The following is an 18,401-nucleotide window of genomic DNA, read 5'->3' as shown; positions in this document are numbered from 1 at the left end:
CGGCTAATTTTTGTATTTTTCATAGGGATGGGGTTTTGCCATGTTGCCGGGGTTGGTCTCAAACTCCTGGTCTCAAGCGATCAGCCCCCCTCGGCCTCCTAAAGTGTTGGGATCATAGGCCTGAGCCACTGTGCCCAGCCTATCCAAGATATTTGAAGTGAGAAAAAAAGGACTGAACAGCGTATATAGTGTGTTACCTTTTGTGTAAAAAGAAGTATCCCTATATTTTAATGTATTACTTACAAATATGTAGGGAAAGATACATTATTAAATGCTAAGTGATTGCCTTCCAGGACTGAAACAGCTAACAGACAGAGATGGGAGAATCAATTATTTTTTATTCTGTCATGTTTTGAGTTTTCTATTAAGACATTTCCTAATTTATATAGCTCTATAGAGAAAATGCATATAAAGAGTGAAGCTTAAAAGAAATAGTAGATGTTTAGAGGTGAAAGAAGTGTTCAGAATGATATGCTGAAGAAAAACATTAGTGGGCCGGGTGCGGTGGCTCACGCCTGTAATCCCAACACTTTGGGAGGCCCAGGCGGGTGGATTGGTTGAGGTCAGGAGTTCGAGACCAGCCTGGCCAACATGGTGAAACCGTGTCTCTATTAAAAATACAAAAATTAGCCGTAGGTGGTGGCTCCCCCCTTTAATCCCAGCTACTCCGGAGGCTGAGGTACTAGAATCGCTTGAACTCGGGAGGCGGAGGTTGCAGTGAGCCGAGATCCCGCCATTGTACTCCAGCCTGGGCGACAACAGCGAGATCTATCTCAATAAATAAATGAAAAGGAAAACATTAGTGGCAGAAGATGTTTAAATGACGAAGAAAGAGGGACGGTTTGGCTTCTTAGGGTAAGTTTACTGGAAATACCGAACAGCCTCCTGCGTCCTTTGCCTTTTTGCTGGACCTCTTGAGGACTCGAGGCTTCGACACCTGGAAGCAAGTCTAGGAAGCTCCGGGTTGGGCCGGATCCCCACCAGAGGCGAGGGGCGGAAGGCCTGGGTTTGTCACCTGAGCCCCAGAACCGGCATATCCGGTTCGGCCCGGCCCCGCCCTTCGGAACCTCACTAGCGGGCTACGCGCAGGAGGGCGTGAGCTCCCGGATGTGCAGGCCCTGTACTGCCGTGGCAGCCCTGCCGGACGCGGCCGCAGTGCCCAGAGGCTCAGGCCTATACCGCTCGGGCGGGTCCTTTGCCTGGCCCGGGTCATCAGACCCCACAGCCGGGAACGTCACCACCCCGGGCGTCGCCTCCCGGCCCAGCCGGCCCACAGACCCCCGCCCCCTACTCCCCCAGCGGGGAGGGGCGCAGAGGCATCACGTGACGCCCCGCACCCGCCCGGTCTTGGTCACATGGTGGCACGGCCGCTGCGTCAGTCACAGCCCTGGCTGCAGGAGTCCAGCTGCCGTCGCCGCCGCCAGCGGACGGGGCGGGGATCCTGGTGCCAGGTCTTCGTTAACCCGCCCCCGCCGCCTCAGTCAGCTGTCCCAGCCCGGGCCCGACCGTCATGGAGCGGTGCGGGGCCTACGCCTGTTCCGTGTGAGGCGCATCGCTGCCGCCGCCGCCGACGCCGCCTTCGTTTGTCGAGGCCTCCGGAACCCCCGCCGCCTCCCGGAGCCCCTCGCCCTTGGCAGCCTGTCACCGCCCCCTGGGCGGGCTCGAATGCGCGTCCGGTGAAGGTGCAGGCCCGGCGCCGCCACTGCCGCAGCCAGGAGATGGTTCGGGCCTAGCGGAGCCGGGACTGGAGGTAAGAAGGGCCGACAGACTGACCCAGGGCCGGGCCGGGCCGCGGGGGTTGTGGCCGGGGCCGGGTGGGGGTGGGGGCCCGCAAGTTCTGCGGGGAGCCTCGGGGAGACCCTCCGGGCTGGGGCTGCTCAATCAGGCGTCACCCCTCCTCTCATCTGCGCGTCCCACCCCACCACCTTCCCGCAAAGATAAGAAAATAAAAAAAGCTAACCCAATCCTAACAAAAATTCCCAGAAATCCATCCGTTTAGTGTTTCTCCTTTCCTCTTTCTTTCCTCAGACGTTCCATCGGCTGATTTGTTACTTTTTCATATCCTCCTCAATTTCAAATTATGTCTAATTAAAGAGAAAATAGGCCCAGATTCTGGCTAACATTACCCAGCTAGTTCTCGCTTTCCTTCTCGCGATCCTGCGCACCTCTCCCACACCCCCACCCCCGCAAAAAAAAAAAAAAAAGAAGGAAAAATTTCCGCCTTCGACTTGCGAAGGGGATTGACTAAAAATGGGAACGTGGGGGTATAATACTCGAATACCCTCCCCTACAACTTCTGAATCGGTCTGTTACCTAGTTATCCCAGTAGCTTGTGCGTGGATATTGATGTTTAGGCCTTTCCTCCAGCTGCCTGTGCTTGGGGTTAATCTCGTAATTGACGTCAGTGCTTTGTTCCTTCTACTTTGCTGTTCCTTCCACTCTTTGAGGATGGATCATGGAGTACAGGAGTTTTGGGAGTAACCTTATTGCCTTTTCGTTTACAAACAGTATTATTTTCAGGAAGTGGAAGTACGAATCTGAAATGTTTGTATATGGAGTTCAAGGCGAAGAGTTCGATTTAGGGTTCTCGTAGTTTTGTCAGTTGTAATTCAGAATTATGCGGTTTCTTCCCTGCTGGCCACATGGAAATTTTATACTAAGGCCAGTCACTTTTCCATTGACCAGTGTTTTTCTTGATGGAATCTAAGCTATAGGTGTCTGTGAATAGACTGTAAATGTAACATAAAATGTGTGCTGTTTTTCGGGCTCAGATATGAAAAGCGCAAAGCTTCGTTTCTGTATTGATTCTGCACTTCATAAAGTGCTTTTTAAAACTTAACTGGTCTTTAACTTATCAAAATTGAAATATTTATGAGAACTTTCTTAATTTGGGATTTGATAAAGAGCCTTTGTGGTCTGTGAGTCTGCCTAGAATCATCTTTGGTCATACGTGCATAAAGAAGTGTTGGCAAGTGGCCACTTGGTTTTCAACAAAGCTGGCTTCTTTAAATTTCTCAGATTCGTTTTCCTTATTATCACTGCATCTTTCAGCTCCTAAATATAAGAAAAATTCCCAGTAAGTTATTTTAAGTTATCTTTCAGAGTTAACTTACTAAAAACCTGGAAGCAGTCAAATTTTTCTTTTTTTATTACCAGCAGTTTCATTCAATTTGCGGTGGTTTGCAGGCTGGTACTTTGATTTTTGTTAACTCTCTAGAAACAGTAGGCAAATTTTACTTTAAATAAAATTTTGCTTCAAGTGGGGACAAGATGGGGTGTCTGAAAAAAGAGCCCAGCTGTGTTAATTGGAACATGATCTACAGTTTGGGAGTGTAAGGTGAAGCTGTGTAATTAAGAATTCTTAAAGATTGAATATTTTTGTTCTGAGTCACTTTCTACTTGTCAGATTCTCACATTCAGGTTGATACATTCTCTTCTGTGTACTCTTGAGTTATTGTACCCTTTTTGTAGCAATATATTCTGCAGCCGGGCCTGGTGGTTCACGCCTGTAATCCTAGCACTTTAGCACTTTGAGAGGCCGAGGTGGGCGGATCACCTGAGGTCAGGAGTTCTAGACCATCCTGGCCAACATAATGAAACCCCGTCTCTACTAAAAATACAAGAATTAGCCAGGTGTGGTGGTGCACACCTGTAGTTCTAGCTACTTGAGAGGCTGAGGCATGAGAACCAAATTAGCCAGACATGGTGGTACATGCCTGTAGTCCCAGCTACTCCAGAGGCTGAGGCACGAGAATCGCTTGAGAATCGCTTGAACTGGGAGGCGAAGGTTGCAGTAAGCCGAGATCACACCACTGGAATGCAGTGGCTCCATCTCTGCTCACTGCAACCTCTGCCTCCTGGGTTCAAGCGATTCTCCTGCCTCAGCCTCCTGAGTAGTTGGGATTGCAGGTACACACTACCATTCCCAGTTAATGTTTTTTGTATTTTTAGTAGAGACGGGGTTTCAGCAGGTTGGTCAGACTGGTCTCGAACTCCTGACCTCGTGATCCACACGCCTCGGCCTCCCCAAAGTGTTGGGATTACAGGCATGAGCACTGCGCCCGGCCAACCTAGGCGATGTCTCAAACAAGCAGAAGCCTACTATATGTTTTGCACTGTAATTTTCTTTTTTTCCCTGTCTCTTGCAGATATTGAGGGATGCATAATAATTTTCTTACAGATCTGTTACAGGGTCTTTGAGGAAGTACTATATTTATTCCTCTTTTTATCTTCCTCAGTATTTTACACAATTACTAGATTGAATTTGAATGTGATAATATTTTGAACTTGAAATTGTTGTTCTATCAACTTATCTAAGATTTCACAAAAAGGTAATGTAAAGAAAGCTGTATGAGCAAAGGATCAGTATTTGAAAGGGAAAAACCTGTCAGTTTCAGAAGATGAGACAGAAGATGAAGCTTTCTAAAAGTTATATATTTTGCCTTTTTTGAGAAGGTAAGGTAAATGCCGTAGTTTTATGTGTACCTGAGAGGAACAAATAAAACAGGTATTTCTTCCTTTGTGGCCATCCACTGGTTTAGAATGGAGTTCAAAATCTATGAGGACTTTTCTTTGTGGTATTTTTAATAAAATCAAAGAGGTATTCTTAAGTATTGAGAGCACACCTGGACAATGACCCAGAAGTACAGCATGTACTATAAAAAATTGATGACTTAGATTTTTTTTTACTTTAGCTTTATTCTACAGATATCTCACTATGAAGACTTTTCTATATGATATAAAGGTTCCCAGCTCTCCTGCATCCTTATTATGTTTTACCCATTCCCTTATTCATTTCCTCTGATAAGTTGGAACAATTCTATTTGATTTCTGGGAGGGTGTTAGCTAGTCTCAGTTATTGTGAAAGAAGGTGTAGTGACTAAAGACTGCCTAAAGCTAACCTGACCTGTTACCTTGCTGCTTTTTCCTTTGGTTTAAGAAAAGCGCTCCTACTGGCCAGGCGCAGTGGCTTATGCCTGTAATCCCAGCACTTTGGGAGGCTGAGGCTGGCGGATCACGAGGTCAGGAGATCGAGACCATCCTGGCTAACACGTCTCTACTAAAAGAATACAAAAAATTAGCTGGGTGTGGTGGCAGGCGCCTGTAGTCCCAGCTACTTGGGAGGCTGAGGCAGCAGAATGGCGTGAACCCAGGAGGCGGAGCTTGCAGTGAGTCGAGATCGCACCACTGCACTCCAGCCTGGGCAACAGAGCGAGACTCCGTCTCAAAAAAAAAAAAAAAAAAAAAAAAAGAAAAGCACTCCTACTTGTTGTTAACTCCCTATACATACCCTTCTTGGTTATTTGAAGTGATACTCTAGTACACGGAAGAGGGCAGTAATATATGTTCCAGTTACTGAGTTTTGGCACATCATCTGCATTCCTGTTTGTCTTGATGTTCATTTTCGCTGGTATCATATCTTGAAAGTTTTAACGATACTGGGGCACAGAAAATATTAGAACCTCCAAATTCAATTCCAGAGTATTCCAAAACATTTTAATACTAGAACTACCTATTCTATTTTTGAAGAAAAAAAATCTTAGCTACCTGCTTTATCAGCTATTCTTTATTTAAAAAAATCTGTAACCTTGCCGGGCCCGGTGGCTCATGCCTGTAATCCCAGCACTTTGGGAGGCCAAGGTGGGCGGATCACGAGGTCGAGAGATCAAGACAATCCTGGACAATATGGTGAAACCCCGTCTTTACTAAAAATACAAAAATTAGCTGGGCATGGTGGCGCCTGTAGTCCCAGCTACTTGGGAGGCTGAGGCAGGAGAATCGCTTGAACCTGGGAGGCGGAGGTTGCAGTGAGCTGAGATCGCACCACTGCACTCCAGCCTGGCAACACAGCAAGACTCTATCTCAAAAAAAAAAAAAAAAATCTGTAACCTGAGGAATGTTCTGACAGAAGGCATTTTATGTAACTTTTTCTCTCTTGGAGTTCTTAATGAACTGTGTTGGTGGCTTTTAGGCAAGGAAACGTAGCTTATTAGTGGATACTGTTTTAAACTAATTACTTCAATAATCATTTCCTAGGACAGGTAAAAGAACTTCATGTATTCTTTTCCCAAGGTTGTTGGGTAGGAGGAATCAGGGACTGACATGAATAGACTGCACTGGAAAGCCAGTATGGTTTGATTACCCAGAGATCTGTTCGGGGACAGGGCTGCCTGGAGTTGCTTTGGGCCTAATAGCTCTCCCAGGATTTTGTCAGTTTGGAGTTGCCTAGTGGGTTATGACTTTTCCTTTTCATGTCATCATTAGGGAAGGGACAGTTTTATGGAGAGATGAGTACCAGCCAATACTCTGTAGAGACACACCTTCTTACCTTTTTGCAGTTGCTTCCATTTCTTCCAATTGGAATATTATTTCTTCTAACTTGTTTCTTACCTGTTAAAATTTCACCGTTTTTAAAGGCCTGATTTACGTTTCATTGCCTTCTTGAAGTTTTGGTTAATTCTTCACCCCACTCCAGTTGTGATCTACTTCCTTTCAATCTCTGCATCACTTTGTAGCTCCTTTTTTTTTTTTTTTTTTTTTTTTGAGACAGGGTCTCACTCTGTCATCCAGGCTGGAGTGCAGTGATGTGATCTTGGCTCACTGCAACCTCTGCTTCCCAGGCTCAAGCAATTTTCATAACTCAGCCTCCCGAGTAGCTGGGACTACAGGTGTGCACCACCATGCCCTGCTAATTTTTTTTGTATTTTTTGTAGAAATGGGGTTTCGCCCTGTTGTCCAGGCTGGTGTACCTCTTTTAATTATTTGTTATGCAGCTACTATGGGACTATAGCCTGCTGAGTAACATCACGAAAAATGTATTAGGGAAGACACTAGTAAAAGAAGGACTGTAAGTGTTGTAATATTTCATTATGTGTTTCTAAAATATAAAGATTAAAACAATCCCAATATTATACACTAAAAAAAGTAACACGCATTCCTTAATATCATCAATATCAAGTGTTCACATTTCCCTGATTATAGTTTTTGTATTGTTTTTACAATTTTTGTGAATTAGGATCCAAATAAGGTCTGTAAATATTACATTGGGTTTAGGTAATCGATACTTTTTTCTTTTAATCTATAAGTTTTCCTCTATCTTTTTATTGTGGTTATTCCCATACAATTGGTTTGTTGAAGAAGCCAGGTCTTTGCCCTATGATACTTCTCAGAATCTAGATTGTGTTGATGAGATCCCAGTGGTTTCATGTAATATGTTCTTTTGTCCCTTGTATTTTCTGTAAATTTTGTTTATTTTATTTTTTTTATTTCTATTATTTGAGATGGAGTCTTGCACTGTCACCCAGGCTAGAGTACAGTGGCATGATCTCAACTCACTGCAACCTCCGCTTCCTGGATTTCAAGCAGTCCTGCCCCAGCCTCCTGAGTAGCTGGGGTCTACAGGCGCCTGCCACCATGCCCAGCCAATTTTTGTATTTTTAGTAGAGACAGGGTTTTGCCATGTTGACCAGGCTGATCTCGAACTCCTGACCTCAGGTGATCTGCCTGCCTCGGCCTCCCAAAGTGCTGGGATTATACGTATGAGCCACTGCACCCGTCCTTTCTGTAAATTTTAATAGTTAACATCTAGAAGTCTGATCTGATTTAGCATTAAATAAAATAACATTTTAAATAATAACATTTTAAATAATAATAATAATTATTATTTTTTTGGACAGGACTGCACTCGGTTACCCAGGCTGGAGTGCATGGGGCAGTCACGGCTCACTGCAGCCTTGATCTGCTGCACACATGTGATCCTCCTGCCTCAGCCTTCCAAGTAGCTAGGACTACAGGCACGAGCCACCATACCTGGCTAAATTTTTTGGTTTTTGCAAAGATGGGGTCTTGCTGTATTGCCTGGGCTGGTTACAAATTCCTGGCCTCAGGTAGTCCTCCCACCTCAGCCACTCAGTGTGCTGAGATTCCAGGCATGAGTTACTGCACCTGGCCATTTTTCTGTTTTTTTTTTTTTTTTTTTTTTTTTTTTTTGAGACGAAGTCTCACACTGTCACCCAGGCTGGAGTGCAATGGTGCAATCTTGGCTCACCACAACCTTCACCTCCCAGGTTCAACTGATTCTTCTGCCTCAGCCTCCTGAGTAGCTGGGATTACAGGCACCTGCCACCATGCCCGGCCAATTTTTGTATTTTTAGTAGAGATGGGGTTTCACCATGTTGGTCAGGCTGGTCTTGAACTCCTGACCTCATGATCTGCCTGCCTCAGCCTCCCAAAGTGCTGGGGTTACAGGTGTGAGCCACCTTGCCTGGCCCATGTTTACATTTTTAAATGGTGGGAGAAAAATCATTTTTTTTAGCAAGTCAATATTTTAGGAAACTCAGATTTCTTTCTCTCGCTCTCTCTTTTTTTTTTTTTTTCTGAGATGGAGTCTTGCTCTGTTGCCCAGGCTGGAGTGCAGTGGCATGATCTCGGCTCACTGCAGCCTCTGCCTCCCAGGTTCAAGTGATTCTCCCTGCTTCAGCCTCCCGAGTAGCTGGGATTACAGATGTGCGCCACCACACCTAGCTAATTTTTGTAGTTTTAGTAGAGATGGGGTTTTGCCAGGTTGGCCAGGCTGGTCTTGAACTTCTGACCTCTGGTAATCCACCTGCCTTAGCCTTCCAAGGTGCTGGGATTACAAGCATGAGCCACTGGGCCCGGCCAGGAAACTCAGATTTCAATGTCCATAAATAAAGTTTTACTGGAACACAGGCAGCACACCCGTTTGTTTTTTGTTTATGTATTGTCTGTGGCTGCTTTTGCTGCTGTGATGGCAGAATTTAGTAATTGTGACTATATGGCCTGCCAAACCTGAAATATTTACTGTGGCCCTAAAAACATTTGTTGAATCCAGCCTTAGTGGATACTTGGGTTTGAGGATTTCTTTAGGGTTGAGCAGTTAGTTACAAGGTCCCCATTTACTTGGTGGCTGTTAGGGTTTTTTGTTTGTAGAATATGTATATTTGTGTAATACATATGAGTATAATACACATATATTTACATGTATTACGTGTATTATATATTTATATATTACACATCTTGTGCATTATATTATATATACTATACTATATAGTATAGTATAATATAGTAAGTATAGTATATATTATATGTAGCATATATAATATACTCTGATGTATATTATATACTATATAATCTATGTAATACATGTATATGTATATATTTTGTGTGTGTGTGTGTATATATATATATATATATTTTTTTTTTTTTTTTTTTGAGATGGAATCTCACTCTATCACCCAGGCTGGAGTGCAGTGGCATGATCTTGGCTCACTGCAACCTCTGCCTTCCGGGTTCAAGCGATTCTCCTGCCTCAGCCTCTTGAGTAGCTGGGATTACAGGCGCCCGCCACCACGCCCGGCTACTTTTTGTATTTTTAGTAGAGATGGGGGTTTCACCATGTTGATCAGGCTGGTCTTGAACTCCTGACCTCGTGATCTGCCCGCCTTGGCCTCCCAAAGTGTTCAGATTACAGGCATAAGTCGCTACACCTGACCTGTATAGTTGTATGTACGCTATTATGTAGTACACTATGCAAGTGAGCATTACCGTCTGAGCTTTGCTTCCTATCAGATCAGATTCTCATAGTGATACAGACAGGAGGCAGGGAAATACTGGCTAGAAGTGGGTGGGGTACCTGGTGAGGGCCCCTCAAGCTTGGACCCATAACCCTAAATAAGAACTTCACATCCCTGTTTTCCTGCCTGAATGTTTCCTTTTCCATAACCACTCTGGCCCACCACGCCCCTCCACCCTGTACCCATAAAAACTCCAAGCTCCACTAGCAGAGGAACAGAGTGGTATGGCAGAGGAGAGAAGAGAAGAAGCAGAGAGGAGAAGCAGCAGCTGGACACCGGAGACTATGGGTTGGAGAGGATTTCAGCTAGGGACAGCTGAGCTCCAGGGGAAGATTATCTTCCCACTCCATCCCTTTTCCAGCTCCCCATCCTGCTGAGAGCCACTTCCACCACTCAATACAATCTCTGCATTCAGCATCCTTCAAGTTCATGTGACCTGATTCTTCCTGGATACCGGAGAAGAACCTGGGTACCAGGAGGGCAGGATGTGAAAGGCTATCACCCTGACCTTCCAGTGAGCTTAACACTTAGCCATCCGTGGACAGCAAATGATAAAAGAGCATTGTCTAGGCCGGGCGCGGTGGCTCACGCCTGTAATCCCAGCACTTTGGGAGGCCGAGGCGGGCGGATCACGAGGTCAGGAGATCGAGACCATCCTGGCTAAAACGGTGAAACCCCGTCTCTACTAAAAATACAAAAAATTAGCCAGGCGTAGTGGCGGGCGCCTGTAGTCCCAGCTACTTGGGAGGCTGAGGCAGGAGAATGGCGTGAACCCGGGAGGCGGAGCTTGCAGTGAGCCGAGATCCCGCCACTGCACTCCAGCCTGGGCGACAGAGCGAGACTCCGTCTCAAAAAAAAAAAAAAAAAAAGAGCATTGTTTGTAACACACACCCTCTGGGGCTCCAGAGGTCGTGGGCAACCACCCCTAGATGCTGCCATGAGCCGGTATGGGGTTAATTCCTGCTGGCACCCAAAAGCTTCTGCACCCACTCACCCTGTGTGCTCCCCCTCCCACAAGGGGTTTGAGCATGGCAGGTAAGCAAGTGAGCCACCCCTGTCACAAGTCACGTGATGGGGTCGAGGGAACTCTGCCGTGTCAATAGGAGCTCGAACCCTGTTGTGAACTGCACATGCAAGGGATCTAGGTTGCATACTCCTTCTGAGAATCTAACTAATGCCTGATGATCTGAGGTGAAATGGTTTTCTTTCAAAATCATCTCCCCGCAACCCCTGTCCATCCATGGAAAAATTGTCGTCTGTGAAACTGGTCCCTGGTGCCAAAAAGATTGGGAACTGCTCATATGCATGACTTTCCTGAATCTGGAATGCACACTGTGTTCAAGAACTGGAAGGGACTGGTAGAAAGTATGAGATTAATCTGATGAGGAGACAAGAGTCAGATCAAGTAGAATATTGTAAGCCATGTTGAGGACTTTAAAGTTTATCTTAAAGTAAACGGAAAGCTTATTTAAAAATTTTAAGCAGGAGTTAGGCAATCTGACCTGACTTGTGTCTTAGAAAGATTACTTTGGCTGCCGTATGGCATATAAAGAGAGACCGAGGGAAGTAGAAGTCCAATTAGAAAGGCTGTAGCGTTTATTCAAGCGGAAGATAAAATGTGGTGTGTTTTGAACGGTGGCAGTGGAAAAAGAAGTGAGGAGGGAGATTCAAAATATATTTTGGCAGTTATGGTGATGGATTAGATTTGAAGAGAGGTTGAAGGAAGAATTCAGCAAAAGCAGTTGGCTGGCTGGATGCATTACTATTAGGATGAGGATCACTGGAGGAGGAGTGGTTGGTGATAAGGGAAAGCAGATCAGAAAATTAATTTTAGATGTATTAAGATTGAGATTTTTGGGATTGGGCATGGTGACTCATTACAAAGTTCTTGTAATCCCAGCACTTTGGGAGGCTGAGGTGGTAGGATTACTTGAGGCCAGGAGTTTTAGGCCAGCCTGGGCAACATAGTGAGATCTTGTCTCTACAAAAAATTGAAAAGAAAAAAAAATTACCCAGGTGTGGTGTCATGCATCCTTTAGTCCCAGCTACTCAGGAGGCTGAGGTGGGAGGAGCACTTACCTAAGGAGTTTGAGGTTACAGTGAACTATGATTGCACCACTGTACTCCAGCCTGGGTGACAGACTGAGACCCTGTCTCTAAAAAATAAAAAATCGAAATTAAAAAAAACAGAGATTTCTTAGTTTTGAAGCCTTTGGGATTAAAAAAAGATAATACAATTTTTTTTTTTTTTTAGTAGAGACAGATTCTCCCTATGTTGCCTAGGCTGGTCTTGAATTCCTGAGCTCAAGCAGTCCTCTCACCTTGCCCTCCCAAAGTGCTGAGATTACAGGCATGGTAGTGCCTAGCCCTGATTTAGATTTCTTAGATAGCCAAAGGGCATTGTCAAACAGGTTCCTGGATGTGTGGTTTTGTATTTCAGAAGAGAAAGTGTCATGGGGAGCATATGTGGGCATTCTGGTTGTAGGCATAGAGTTGTGTTTTTTTTTGTTTTTTGTTTGAGACAGAGTCTCACTCCGTCACTTAAACTAGAGTGCAGTGGTACGATCTTGGCTCATTGCAACCTCTGCCTCCCAGGTTCAAGTGATTCTCATGCCACAGCCTCTCGAGTAGGTGGAATTACAGGCATGCACCACTATGCCCAGTTAATTTTTTTTGTTATTTTTAGCAGAGACGGAGTTTCGCCATGTTGGCTAGGCTGGTCTTGAACTCCTGACCTCAAGTGATCTGCCTGCCTTGGCCTCCCAAAATGCTGGGATTACAGGTGTGAGCCACCGCGCCTGGCCACATAGAGATATTTTAAGCTTTGGGAATGTAAGGAGAGGATATAAAATGAACGAGAATAAGACCCATGTCTGAGCACGGTGGAGCACCACTTTTGAAGACATCTGGTAGGTAGGATGGGAAGAGCCAGAGGAACTGGGGAAGCTGGGAAGGCTAAGTGTTACAGAAGCCAAAGAGTATATCAAGGAGAGATAAGTGGCTGAATGTATTGAATGGTAAGTCAAGTAAAATGATAAAATATCTGTTGAATTTAGCAATATGGAAGTTGCTAATGATCTTGGTAAAGAAATATGATGTGGGAAATCGGAAACAGAATGTTGGGAAATTGGAAACAGAATGTTGGGAAATTGGAAACAGTAGAATGTTGAATAGTGATTGGATACGGACGGCATTTTGGAAAGTATTAGTAATTTGGCTGTATCTACTAAAGTTGAAAATGTTCATCCTCTGCAGTAGTTCCACTTCTAGCTGTCTATTCTAGAAGAACTCTCACTCATTGGTACAAAGAGATGTGCATAAAAATGATCATTTAGCATTGTTTGTAATGGCAGAGAAAGGGGAAACTACCTAAATATGTGTCATCTGGAGAGTAGATAAGTAAACTGTGTGGATACACAGTGAAAATAAATGAACTACAGCAATGGATTAACCTCATAATGCTGAGGATTCAAAAAACTGAGTTGTTAAGAGTATACCTTTTTAATAATGTTGAAGAAATATGCAAAACAATTCAGTTTCTTATTTAGAGATATATACATATGTAGTAAAAGTACAAAGAAAATTCCTAGCTGGGTGTGGTGGCTCATGCCAATAATCCCAGCACTTTGGGAGGCCGAGGTGGGCCGATCACTTGAGGTCAGGAGTTTGAGACCAGCCTAGGCAATATGGTGAAACCCCATCTCTACTGAAAATACAAAAATTAGCCTGGTGTTGTGGCAGGTGCCTGTAGTCTCAGCTACTTGGGAGGCTGAGGCAGAAGAATTGCTTGAACCTGGGATGTGGAGGTTGCAGTGAGCCGAGATCGTGCCACTGCACTCCAGCCTGGGGAACCAAGTGAGACTCTGTCTGAAAAAAAAGAAAAAGAAAAGAAATTCCTGAGAATGGTTGACACCAAAATCAGAATAGTGTCTACTGCTTACAGGGGGAGAGAATACTTGGAGATGTGATCAGGAGAAGTACACAGCAGCCTTCAACTATGTTGGTAATGCTTTTATTTCCTAAGGTGGTTGTTTGATGGGTAGCACAACTGTTCACTGTATTGGTCCTTATCTTTTAGGGTAACATTTTATAAAATGAGTGGTTGCTGAGGAGGTGGAGAATCACCAAAAGTCCTTTTGAGAAGCTTGGCTGGAGAGAGATGTGGGGCCAATGAAGACTTTTTTTTTTTTTTGAGACGGAGTCTTGCTTTGTTGCCCAGGCTAGAGTGCAGTGTGGCGATCTCTGCTCGCTGCAACCTCTGCCTCCTGGTTCAAGCGATTCTCCTGCTTCAGCTTCCTGAGTAGCTAGGACTACAGGTTTGCACCACCACGCCTGGCTAATTTTTGTAATTTTAGTAGAGACAGGGTTTTGCCATGTTGGCCAGGCTGGTCTTGAACTCCTGGCTTCAAGTGATCTGCCCGTCTTAGCCTCCCAGAGTGCTGGGATTACAGCAGACATGAGCCACCATGCCTGGCCTTTGTTAAAATTTTTTTAAAGAAGAATATGTTTGAATGCTGATGGAAAGGATTCGTAGGATTCACTAGAGATGGAGAAGTTGAAGTTGTTGGAGAAAAAATCGCAACTGCTAAAGGTCTAGAAGATAGCAAAATGAGGATAATTGTTCTTTGTTAGGAAGATTCGAGTTTTTTTCCTTTGTCACTGGGAGGGAAGAGAATAGATGTAGACGCTGATAGTTTGAAAGTTGATGGTTGATTGATAAAAATATTTTTCTTCCATTGTTTTTTATTTTTATTTTATTTTATTTTTGACATGGAGTCTCGCACCGTCGCCTGGGCTGGAGTGCAGTGGCGCAATCTTGGCTCACTGCAACCTCTGCCTCCTGGGTTCAAGCGATTGTCCTACCTCAGCCTCCCGAGTAGCTAGGATTACAGGCGCCCACCACCATGCCTAGCTTGCTTGCTTGTTTATTTATTTATTTATTGAGATGGAGTTTCGCTCTTATTGCCCAGGCTAGAGTGCAATGGCACGATCTCAGCTCACTACAACCTCTGTCTCCCGTTCAAGCGATTCTCCTGCCTCAGCCTCCCAGGTAGCTGGGATTACAGGCATGTGCCACCATTCCTGGCTAATTTTGTATTTTTAGTAGAGACGGGGTTTCTCCATGTTGGTCAGGCTGGTCTCGAACTCCCAACCTCAGGTGATCTGTCTGCCTCGGCCTCCCAAGGTGCTGGAATTACAGGCGTGAGCCATCGCGCCCGGCCAGGCACGGCTTATTTTTTGTATTTTTAGTTGAGATGGGGTTTCACCATGTTGGCCAGGCTGGTCTTGAACTCCTGACCTCGTGATCGGCCTGCCTCGGCCTCCCAGAGTGCTGGGATTACAGGCATGAGCCACCATGCCTGGCCGCTTTTTATTTTCATTTGTTTATTTTTGAGACCAGGTCTTGCTCTGTTGGCCATGCTGGAGTGCAGTGGCACAAACATAGCTCACTGCAGCCTCAAACTCCTGGGCTCCAGTGATCCTTCTGCCTCAGTCTCCAAGTAGCGAGGACTACAGGCATGCACCACCTTTCCTGGCTAATTTTTACTTTTTTTTTTTTTTTTTTTTGAGACAGAGTCTCGCTCTAGTGCAGTGGCGCGATCTCTGCTCACTGCTAGCTCCGCCTCCCGGGTTCGCGCCATTCTCTCGCCTCAGCCTCCCGAGTAGCCGGGACTGCGGGCACTCACCCTCACGCCTGGCGCGCGCGCGCGCGCGTGTGTGTGTGTGTGTGGTACACATGGGGTTTCACTGTGTTAGCCAGGATGGTCTCAATCTCCTGGCCTCGTGATCCACCCGCAGGATGGTCTCAGTCTCCTGGCCTTGTGATCCACCCGCCTCAGCCTCCCAAAGTGCTGGGATTACAGGCTTGAGGCACCGTGCCTGGCCTAATTTTTACATTTTTTAAGAGATGAGGTCTCACTTTGTTGCCCAGGCTGGTCTGGAACTCCTGGGCTCAAGCGGTCCTTCCACCTTGGCCTCCCAAAGTGCGGGGATTGCAGGTATGAGCCACTGGGCCTGGCCCATTGTTTCTTAAAGCAGAAAAATAATTTATTCCAAAAGATGGCAGAGAGCCAGGTATGATGGCTTATGCTTGTAGTCTCAGCTACTCTGAAGGCTGTGGCAGGGGGATTGCTTGAGCCAAAGAATTTGAAACAAGCCTGAGCAATATGGCAAGACCCCATCTCAAAAAAAAAAAAAAAAAAAAAGGCAGAAATAAGATTTTCATCCTGAAAATGTAATTTGGTGTAGTTTTGTTGGGATCTTCCCTCTCAACATGCCTTCCTACTGATTGCCCCACTGGAGTCTTTTTTGTCTAGTAGCAGTTTTTAGACCCGTCACTGAGTCCCATGTTTTGATAAGGCAAGAGCCATCTTCAAATCTATAAATTCCAAGGGATAGATTAATATATTTCTCAGAAGAGAGCATCTTCTGTCTTGGAAGAGTCCATAAACATTGTGTGGAATCAGCACAGTTTAGGTTAAGTACACACATAATTCATCAAAGTGTAAATAAGGTCAAGGAAAAAGTACTGCATTGTGAAAAAAAATTCAAATGTGGTATGAACATTTAAGGCAGCTGATGCCCCAAACAGGCAAAGTCGAAGAAGGTGGCCTGCATTTGGAGGTGATTTTGCATCCAAAAAGGAATTCGCTTTCTTGATTTCAATGACTGAACACTGTAAAACATGTCTTCTTCCTCAAGGCCAATGATGCTTCAGATACCAGGTGGTTTCATCTTTCAGTCATGGTCTATAGAGAGGGTTGCATTGGGCCAAAATTGCAATCAGCCAAAAGAGAGTGGCAAACTGAACAGGTCACCATCATGGTGATGATAACTCCCCAGTTAGGCCGCTTAGTGACGAACTAGGGCACAAAGAAGCCAACAAAGCCCCAGAACATGCTCGTCACTGTGAGGCCATGATAACGCTGTGTTTGCTGCTGGAGCTGCCTCTCTCTGATTTTTAGTATTGTTTTTTAATCTTTGTCCATTAAGACAAGGTTATTTGTGAATGAAAATTAGGATTGTGGGGAGTCACAGAACTTCGTGAAATACTTGTGAGGAATGGGAAAGAACATTCATCAGAGAAAAACAGTACAATTTCACTTTGGGAGGCTGAGGTGGGCGGATCATGAGGTCAGGAGATCGAGACCATCTTGGCCAACATGGTGAAACCCTGTCTCTACTAAAATACAAAAGATTAGCCAGACATGTTGGCGGGTGCCTGTAGTCCCAGCTGTTTGGGAGGCTGAGGCACGAGAATTGCTTGAACCCAGGAGGCGGAGGTTGCAGTGAGCCGAGATCGTGCCACTGCATTCCAGCCTGGCGACAGAGCAAGACTCCATCTCAAAAAAAAAAGCACAATTTCTGGGAAACTTTGAGGGACGAGTTGAGAATGATTTATGAAATACAGTAAGAAATTCACATAATACATAAGGATGTGATGAAGAAAGCAAAAATGTGTGGAATTGTTATCTTTGTTTTCACGTTTTTCACTACATTATTTTAAACCTGAAGGCTATAGAAGTCTCATGACTAACTTTGGGGCAAAGGTCCTTCTGTGCTAAATATTGTCTTGGGACCTGATGTTTTGTTATTGGCTTTGATCTGTAGGTGTACAACCTTTGTTTCCCTGACTTGTAGGAAGTGACCTCTTCAGACTGTCTCATGGGTAGAGAAATTCTACCAAATGAGGCCAAGAGGGATTTATGTACTGTTGAGGCTTTGTGCTTTAGCATAGTGCATTGTGGTAAAGTTACAGTTTAATAGCAGTTGTAATATACTGGGTTTGAAAATAATTGAAATATTAGCTCAAATCTCATTTTGACTTTCAGAGTTTAAATCACTCAATAATCTTATAGTTGAATGACTCTGTTTTTCAGTAGGATAGTTATTTTAAGACACTAAGTGAAAAAAACAAAAAACAAAAAACATTGTAACAAATTCTGACCTCCACTTGAATGGGGGATGTTAGAATACACATTTTACACTAAATAGTTTTAATTTTTTGTTTTCGAGGCAGAGTCTTACTCTGTTGTGCAGCCTAGAGTGGAGTGGCACAATCTCGGCTCACTGCAATTTTTGCCTCCGAGATTCAAATGATTCTCTTGCCTCAGCCTCCCGAGTAGCTGGGACTACAGGTGCGCGTTACCACACCCGGCTAATTTTTGTAGTTTTAGTAGAGATGGGGTTTGGCCATGTTGGCCAGGCTGGTCTTGAACTCCTGACCTCACGTGATCCACTGCCTCAGTCTCCCAAAGTGCTGGGATTACAGATGCCAGCCACAACGCTCGGTTGTTTTAAATTTTTTAAAATTAAACTTGCAAAAAGTCATAAAGTGTTTTATATACTTATTTAATTTATTTGAGACAGAGTCTCACTCAGTTGCCACAAAGTGCAGTGGCATGATCTCGGCTCACTGCAACCTCTGCTTCCCGGGTTCAAGCGATTCTCGTGCCTCCACCTCCCAAGTAGCTGGGACTACAGGAGCACGCCACCACGCCTGACCTAAAATGTTTTATAACTAATGTATGTGTTTATAAAAAAATTATAGAATGCATTTAATTCCTAGGAATACACATTTAAATTTTTATTTTTAAGGTGTACTAATTTTTTTATTGTGGCAAAATATAAAATTTACTATTTTAATAATTTTACATATACAATTCAGTGGCATTAAGTACATTCACAGTGTTGTACAATCATCAATACTGTCTGTTTCCAGAACTTTTTCATCATCCCAAACAGAACCTCCCCACCTCTATTCTATTTTCGGTCTCTATGAATTTGCCTATTCTAGGTGCCTCATAT

The 18,401-nt window shown here is 44.5% G+C and overlaps 1 protein-coding gene, 1 long non-coding RNA gene and 1 pseudogene across 5 annotated transcripts in view, besides 2 other annotated features; 1 reads left to right on the top strand and 2 right to left on the bottom strand.

The window, feature by feature from the left end:
• AFF4-DT (AFF4 divergent transcript) lies at nucleotides 319-1,197 on the bottom strand. The gene is made up of 2 exons (NR_186175.1): nucleotides 875-1,197; nucleotides 319-768 (listed from the first exon to the last, which is right to left on the bottom strand). It is a non-coding gene; the product is annotated as an AFF4 divergent transcript (long non-coding RNA).
• Nucleotides 1,081-1,920: a silencer, noted in NCBI's record as "silent region_16344". NCBI's record gives its function as "represses an Ori minimal core promoter by ATAC-STARR-seq in GM12878 lymphoblastoid cells {active_cell/tissue: GM12878}" and the evidence as "EXISTENCE:reporter gene assay evidence [ECO:0000049][PMID:35858748]".
• AFF4 (ALF transcription elongation factor 4) overlaps nucleotides 1,375-18,401 on the top strand; it is an 88,240-nt gene continuing 71,213 nt past the window's right edge. For all 4 annotated transcript variants that reach the window (XM_006714587.5, NM_014423.4, XM_047417103.1 and 1 more), the window contains exon 1: nucleotides 1,375-1,750. The gene's annotated coding sequence lies outside the window, so the exon portion shown is untranslated. The remainder of the gene's footprint in view (nucleotides 1,751-18,401) is intronic.
• Nucleotides 3,847-4,348: an enhancer, noted in NCBI's record as "H3K4me1 hESC enhancer chr5:132296353-132296854 (GRCh37/hg19 assembly coordinates)". NCBI's record gives its function as "activates a minimal SCP1, AML or CMV promoter by ChIP-STARR-seq in naive H9 embryonic stem cells {active_cell/tissue: H9 hESC(naive)}" and the evidence as "EXISTENCE:reporter gene assay evidence [ECO:0000049][PMID:30033119]".
• On the bottom strand, nucleotides 16,294-16,516 carry ATP6V0E1P1 (ATPase H+ transporting V0 subunit e1 pseudogene 1; annotated as a pseudogene).

This window comes from Homo sapiens, chromosome 5, assembly GCF_000001405.40.
Source record: "Homo sapiens chromosome 5, GRCh38.p14 Primary Assembly".
Classification (NCBI taxonomy): domain Eukaryota; kingdom Metazoa; phylum Chordata; class Mammalia; order Primates; family Hominidae; genus Homo; species Homo sapiens.
This window is presented reverse-complemented; position numbering and strand designations above follow the sequence as displayed.